General features: G+C 43.1%; 4 annotated features.

The window, feature by feature from the left end:
• Nucleotides 3,255–3,564: an enhancer, noted in NCBI's record as "active region_19793". NCBI's record gives its function as "activates an Ori minimal core promoter by ATAC-STARR-seq in GM12878 lymphoblastoid cells {active_cell/tissue: GM12878}" and the evidence as "EXISTENCE:reporter gene assay evidence [ECO:0000049][PMID:35858748]".
• Nucleotides 3,255–3,616: a biological region, named in NCBI's record as "Sharpr-MPRA regulatory region 1914".
• Nucleotides 3,322–3,616: an enhancer, noted in NCBI's record as "tiled region #1914; HepG2 Activating non-DNase unmatched - State 23:Low, and K562 Activating non-DNase unmatched - State 20:ReprD". NCBI's record gives its function as "activates a minimal TATA promoter and a strong SV40 promoter by Sharpr-MPRA in HepG2 and K562 cells {active_cell/tissue: HepG2 | K562}" and the evidence as "EXISTENCE:reporter gene assay evidence [ECO:0000049][PMID:27701403]".
• Nucleotides 4,953–5,262: an enhancer, noted in NCBI's record as "active region_19792". NCBI's record gives its function as "activates an Ori minimal core promoter by ATAC-STARR-seq in GM12878 lymphoblastoid cells {active_cell/tissue: GM12878}" and the evidence as "EXISTENCE:reporter gene assay evidence [ECO:0000049][PMID:35858748]".

Below are 7,070 nucleotides of genomic sequence, written 5' to 3'. Positions count from 1 at the left end.
GGATCCCAGACATTCCTAAGGTAGTATTAAGGCCCCAGTTTACCAGAGAGGAGAAGGAAGAATTAGACAGACTAGGGGTCACTTAAACTAAAAATAAGAAATGAGTACTTCCTGATGGGAGAGAAACAATCAGTAAACCCTGATGAGAGAACTAATGTCTATATTACACAAAGGGAGTCACTGGGGACCTCAGGCTCTCCGTGATGCAATACTACAGGAATTTTACCCTCACTAAACAAGTATGTGGAAGTTGTGTAATTTGTCAAAGGATAAACAAAAAGGTAATTAGAAAACAGCCCATGGGAGGAAAACCTCCCAGACTAAGACCATTTCAAAGCATTCAAGTAGATTTCACAGAAATGCCCAAAGTAGGAAAACTAAAGTATTTACTGGTGATCACAGATTACCTTTCTGGCTGGGTGGAAGCCTTCCCCCTTCCCACAGCCACCACCAAGAATGTGGTCAAAATAATATTAAAACAGATTGTGCGTAGATTTGGCCTGGTGGAAAATACTGATTCAAACAATGGGAGCCACTTTACCTCAAGGATGTTAAGGGGAATTATGTAAGGTTTACAAATTAGATGGGATTATCACACCTCGTAATGTCCCCCTTCCTCTGGAAAGGTAGAAAGAATGAATCAAACTCTCAAAAAGCATATCACCAAACTAATCTTAGAAACAAAAATGTCTTGGACTAAATGTCTCCCAATACACTGCTTAGGATTACAACAGCCCCAAGAAAAGACTTAGGATTGTTCCCCTATGAGTTATTACATGGGGTCCCATATTTAGGCAGAGCTACAAATCTCCCTACTATGGAAACCAAGGATCAATTCTTAAGAAATTACATACTGGCCACATCCTCCACCCTGTCATCCCTCAGGTTAAAAGGACTTCTGACTCAAACTCTACCTCTTAAATTCGCAGTTCACCACTTCCAGCCTGGCGACTTGGTGCTGATCAAGACTTGAAAAGAAGACAAGCTCCACCCAAGCTGGGAAGGTCCCTATCAAGTGCTCCTGACCACTGAGATGGCCGCGCAAACAGCTGAACAGGGGTGGACTCACTATACTCAAGTCAAGGGACTGGTAACAGAGACCCCAGAAGAGAGAGGAAAAAGACCAGTGGAAAGTGCACGGGTCAGCTGAGGAACCCTTAAAGTAAACTTTGAGAAAAATCTAAAAAGAAAAAATGGGCTGGCCCCATTTCTGAAAGTTAATATGGCTGGGATAGGCTACTATACAAAGAGCAGAAGCTCAAAATGTAAAATGGCAGGGGACTTCTCCCTACCCAATAAATGTAACCAAGATGGTAGCACCCCAGACTGTAAGATTTGATGCCTGCCAGGTCTTACTCTGTGGTAATTTAGAAAATCAGAGACTGCTCTTGCAGGCGAATAAATATATTTGCCCTAAACCAGATACAGGTTACAGTAGGGCATCATCCTGCCCCAGCTGGGATGATGTATGGTAAACTGATCAATTTCAGGGTTGAAGAGTAAACATGAGATGAGTAACTCTGAGCTGGAAACCCTTAAAGAATAAACTACAGCTGTCCAAGGGAAGGGCTCCTTGCCAAATAACTGTCAGAATTTAGAATGCAATCCTATACTCATCACCATTGACAATCCAGATGTTCTAAACCAAGAACCAAAAGTAGCATCTCGGGTATATGGGTTAGGGGCAGACATCACAAGGAAAGACCCCCCTACGGCAATTTGTTCTCAAACCAATCAAGAACTCAACCTCCCATTTGCCTGGGACTACTCCAACCCCAAACCCTAATAAACACTTTAGTCCACCAAATAATAACCCTAAAAGAGTAAAAATAATTGAGGTAAAGGATTTAAGGCAAACCTTAAAAATTAAAACAGGGTACAGGGATGTGAATGCCTGGGTGGAATGGGTCAAATTTTGTGTACAAGCCCTCAACAAGAGTAACTGCTACACGTGTGCTGTAGGACAACCTCAGGCACAGGTGGTTCCATTTCCCCCAGGATGGGATACCGATCTTGAAGGAATGCATTGCATGTTGGCTCTATACCAAAACGAAGATGCATGAAGAAATGAGACTTGTAAGAGTCTCTCATTGCTCTTTCCCACATTGCAGAGGTCAGATCCAAGAGCAATCCCCTTGTTCTCTGTAGGAAATATGAACCACTCCTCTTGCCTCTCTAGGCACGTGGCAGAGTTCAATAAGCCTGTGGTAGAATTCTCGACTTGTACCCACATCCTAAACATCACTGGTGAGTCAGGCAATGGCAATTACTCAGCCCTCACATACCCTGGGCTAATGTCTGGTGGTATTGTGGGAAAAGGAACCTCCATAACCTGTTACCCTCCAATTGGACTGGGACTTGTGCTATAGTCCAATTGGCCATTCCCTTCACCTTGGCATTCCATAAGATACCACAAAATACACATGGCCACCAAAACCAGAGAGATTTGACAAATTCTTTTAATCTCAATATATGTGTTGACTCAATAGGAGTCCGTAGTGCGGTGCCTAGTGAATTTAAGGCCCAAAACCAAATAGTGGCTGAGTTTAAGTGAACACTCTTCTGGTGGTCAACTATTAATAAGAATGTGAATTGGATTAACTACATCTATTATAATCAACAGAGATTCATCAGTTATACTCGGGACACCCTCAAAGGGGTGGTTAGCCTATTAAATGCCACCAGCCAAATGGCCTGGGAAAACAGGCTTTCACTAGACATAATCCCAGCAGAAAAAGGGGGTATATGTGTTATGCTGGGTAGGAAATGTACTTTCATTCCCAGCAATACTGCCCCAGATGGGACCATCACAAAAACTTTACGAGGACTGACAACTCTAGCCAACAAACTGGCACAAAATGCTTGCATTAATAACACATTTATGGGTTGGCTAAAAGGTTGGTTTGAAAAATAAAAAGGCTTCAATTTTTACATCTCTCATAATTGTAGCAGGAGTCTTAACAGCTGTGGGATGTTGTATTATCCCCTGTGTGAGGGGACTAGCACAGAGATTAATTTAAGCAGCTATTAGTAAATAAATGTCCATGCTTTACCAGCAAAATAACCTGCTACTAGTAGAATCCAAATTAAACTCACTCTTCCATAAGGAAGAAAGTGACTTCTAAAGTGATTCAAGGACCAAAAGAGTTTAAATGAAATTGAGACCAAAGGAAGTAAATAGAAAAGAGGAGGGAATTTGTAAGAAAATATTTTAAATGGTCCATTTTCAAGGCATGATAATTCTAAGTACTGGCAGCCAGCCTGCGAATGTGACAAATTGCATGGCTCATGCACCTAGAAAGTCACAATAAGTGGACAGAATGTAGAGGAGGAGTCAGCCCATAAAAGGGAAGAAAGTTTCATTGTTGAGAAATGGAAACTTAAGTGGGGAAGAGGACAGGGCATAACCTTATAAGGGGGATAGTGAAACTTAGGCAACGTCCGGGAAGACTGTAACCCCATATACTCAACCAATGAGGAACAGGGGGAGGGACTTGCGTGCTAGGAGACAAATTACTTGCTGTAACTGCCCTAGGTGTGTCTGCCTGCCAGACACCCAATCTTGCAAGACCGCCTTTGAAAGTCTCGCATCTGCTGTTTTTCAGGTCTCCAAGTCCATTCTTTGTGTTTGGACTGGTGAGTGTTTCTCACACTCTATAATCGCAAAGTAGGGAGGTATCTCTTCAAGAAGACAAGTGTCATTCAAATATTTCTGCATAACAAACCAGTACAAAACTTAGTGGCTTAATGTAATAAACGTTTGTCATTGCTGATGATTCTGCAAGTCAGCAATTTAGGCTGAGCTCTGCAGGGCAATTATGGTTACACTCACGCAACTATGGCCAGCTTCCAGTTTAGCTTGGGACTGGCTATTAGCTGGGGCAACAGGGGAGTCTGAGTCATACATCTCACCATCCAGTAGGCTACCTTAAGGTCATTTACATGGTGGCTGGCAGAGTTCCAAAAGAGAGCAAAATCTGGAAGGCTTCTGTGCTTAGAACTGGCACAGCATCACTTCCACATTCATTTAGCCAAAGCAGGAGTAGAAATTCAAAAGAGTGGAAATAGATTCCACATCTAGACAAGAGGAGCTACCAAGGCACGATGTACAGTCATGAATACCTAGAAAGAGAATATTGCATCCATTTGTGCAATCTACCAGGAGAGATAAAATATATAAACCATAAAGGAAAAGATTAATACATTTGAATACAGTAAAATTAAAACTTATATATGAAAAAAGATACCTTGAATATGTATTACTTTTATAATCATAAGGCAAAGTTAAAAATTAAGGATTTAGGATGCTGTACCCGACCACATTATTATTGTTTTTAAAGCACTAAAATATAATATCTATGCAAAAATCTGAACTTCCAAAATGAAGAAGTTATTAAATCAATAATTTTATTATGCTTGAAAGTGTTCTCCTCAAACAGATGCATTACAAACTTTAGTTAAATATTAAAGCCCTCCTACTGCATTTGAAAAATAATTCCTTCCCCAGAAACTGTTATTCCGGGAGATATCTATTATACGAAATAAGGTGTGTGCCTATGTAAAATTTTAAGTGTTTCACCATCTTAATTTCTTTCATTCCAGAAAAATTAGCAAACCAATCACCAGAATCTTGGAGGGAAGTTCTCTTTTTAAAGAAGCAATAAACCAGGGGAGCTGATGTCTTTTCTGTCTTCAGGAAAGAGTAAATAAAAGAAGGAGTGTGTCCAGAGAGTGAAAATGTTTTTTCTCGATCAATACTCAAGAGTTTGACCTCTTCCTTTTTCATGACTTTGGATGTGCCCCAAACACCAGACACCGCTATGGTCCTATCTCTGTGGCCCACTTCAAAGCCAAATATGAAAAATTTGGAGTCAGGCCATGTCATGAGTTATCCTAGTAACTTATGCCCCTTGACAGTGTGAAGAGAGGGGGTTGAGGTTTCTCAAGAACATTAACACAAATGCACCTCTGTGGGCAGCAAGAAGCCTGCTGGGTGTGTCAAAATCAGAAGAAAAACTTTCAGCTGAGAAAAGCAGTCCTGGTTCCTCTCTGGGTATCCAGATAGGATTGGTAACAAATAAAGGAGAGAGAGGGGTGAGGGGACCACAGGATCCTCCAGATGCTTCTGTTTCACCTTCCCCCCATCTTGTTTAGCCACCACACCAGCCAGCACCCTGGAAAGAGCCAGGGCTGGCTTAGAAACCTTACGTAGAGAACACTGGGGTAGTGAGTCACCACTGACTTTGAAGGGCCATCAAAGGTGACAGCTGGGAGGTGATGTGGTCTTTCTACACAGCCATGCACAGCAGCTTCCTGCCAAAGGAGGGAGAGACACGAATCACACCCGCAGGGCTTGCTGGCCCAGGGAGGGGGATGGCCAGGATGATGCCACATTTATATATGACCAGGGCCCTGTGAGAAGGGGTTCTTCAATTCAATAAAATGGCAGCATCATGGCCCTGGGCCAGCTGGCTCAGGCCTGGGAGGCCTTGAAGCACTGTGTGGATGGCCCAGGAAAAAAAGAGAGAGGGAGAGAGCCTTGGTTACACAGAGAGCTGCTCCCAGCCTGGGAAGAGACTGCTAGGGTAAGGACCACACAGTCCTACTCACAGAGGACCAGGAAGTTGGGACCTATGGTTGGTCCAGGAAGATGCACAGAGAAAGGGAACTGTAGGGAGAGGAAGTGATGTGTTTAAAAGCATGAAGCATGGTGTGTTGGAGAACTTCCCACAAGTTGGCATTACTAGTGTAAGACCATGGGCACTTGCTGGTGCTTGGAGGTATTGGGAAAAATTAAAAATCCTACCAACCTAGAGAATCCTCTCCACAATAGGTAGAAAAGAAAGACAACAGCTTTATTATTGAGTAAGCGTTAAACCAGATTACAAAGTGTATGGCAGGTAGCTGAGATGACAAAACCAAAAGAAATTTTTATACCGCCAAACAGTTACCATCCATTACATATCTGTGCTCAAGATTAACAGCAACTTGTCTTCCTGTAGGATTTGGCAGCACCATTTTCTGTGCATTCTTTTATTATTCATCCATGTTCACCTACTAATTAGCCTACTAATTGCCTATATCCGAATTGCCTTTGCCTCCATGACGGGCAGTAGTTACAGCTTGAAGCAGAGTGCCAAGGCCAAACTCTCATGATGACCAGGAAGTAGGGACGCTGTCTTCCTTGATGTTTTTATATCAAAGAGACGGCTCCCAGACCCGTAAAGCATTCCCATGTTGTAAAGCTGACAAGAGTCTTTCTTAGACTTTACAAATATTTGCAAACATATCAAAGGGACAGAAGAAGGATTCATAAACACTAGATTTCCCACAGGAATGTTCTAAGAAAGGGGAGGGGTTCTTTCCATTTAACCACCGGGAAAGTTCAATTTTTATATTTACCCTTGCATGGGTGATGATGAGGCACTGAGACATGGGTGTGGCATGGGCCTCCTTCCCCAAATTCTGTGGGAAATTCCACAGTCAGCTACCTTTCAAATTTCTAGAGGGAAACAATTAGAAAGCTGGCCAGGACCAAAGACCAACACAAAGTAAATTTCTTCAAGACTGGGAGGTGGGGACTGCTTTCCTGGGGGAATCAGACGGAAGGTTCTTTCAAGAAGCTTGCCCTATTTAGTTTGGTGTTATCTCTGCTCTTGTGAGAACTCCATGCACAGGAAGTGCCTGGCCAGGTGTGAAACCGACCGTCCTCACAGGTTCAGCCTTGGAGGGGCTTCTTTTTGTGGGGCACAGCATCTCTTTGGTGGGGCCCCTTCTTGACATCTAAACTACCCCATTTCTGCATGGCATGCAGTCATTTCCAGTACTAGAAACTTGCAAACGTTTCCAAAGTTGCTTCCGCAACCCACAGAAATTGCCCACAGCATCCCATCCTCCACCTCAAGTCACAGGTGTCCTGGAGCCTGCAGCAACCTCAGCAGGAGGGAACTTGCTCTCACAAAGACCAAAGGAGCCCTCAGTCTATTGTGAAGATCACTCCATTGCATCCCCAATCCACCTGCCAAGAGAAGTGGCCCCACTCAGCAGCACAGAGGCTCAAAAACAGACAC

The sequence above is a fragment of the Homo sapiens genome, chromosome 3 (assembly GCF_000001405.40).
Source record: "Homo sapiens chromosome 3, GRCh38.p14 Primary Assembly".
NCBI classification, from domain to species: Eukaryota; Metazoa; Chordata; class Mammalia; order Primates; family Hominidae; genus Homo; species Homo sapiens.
The sequence above is the reverse complement of the archived record's forward strand: the minus strand, read 5'-3'. Positions and strand labels throughout refer to the sequence as shown.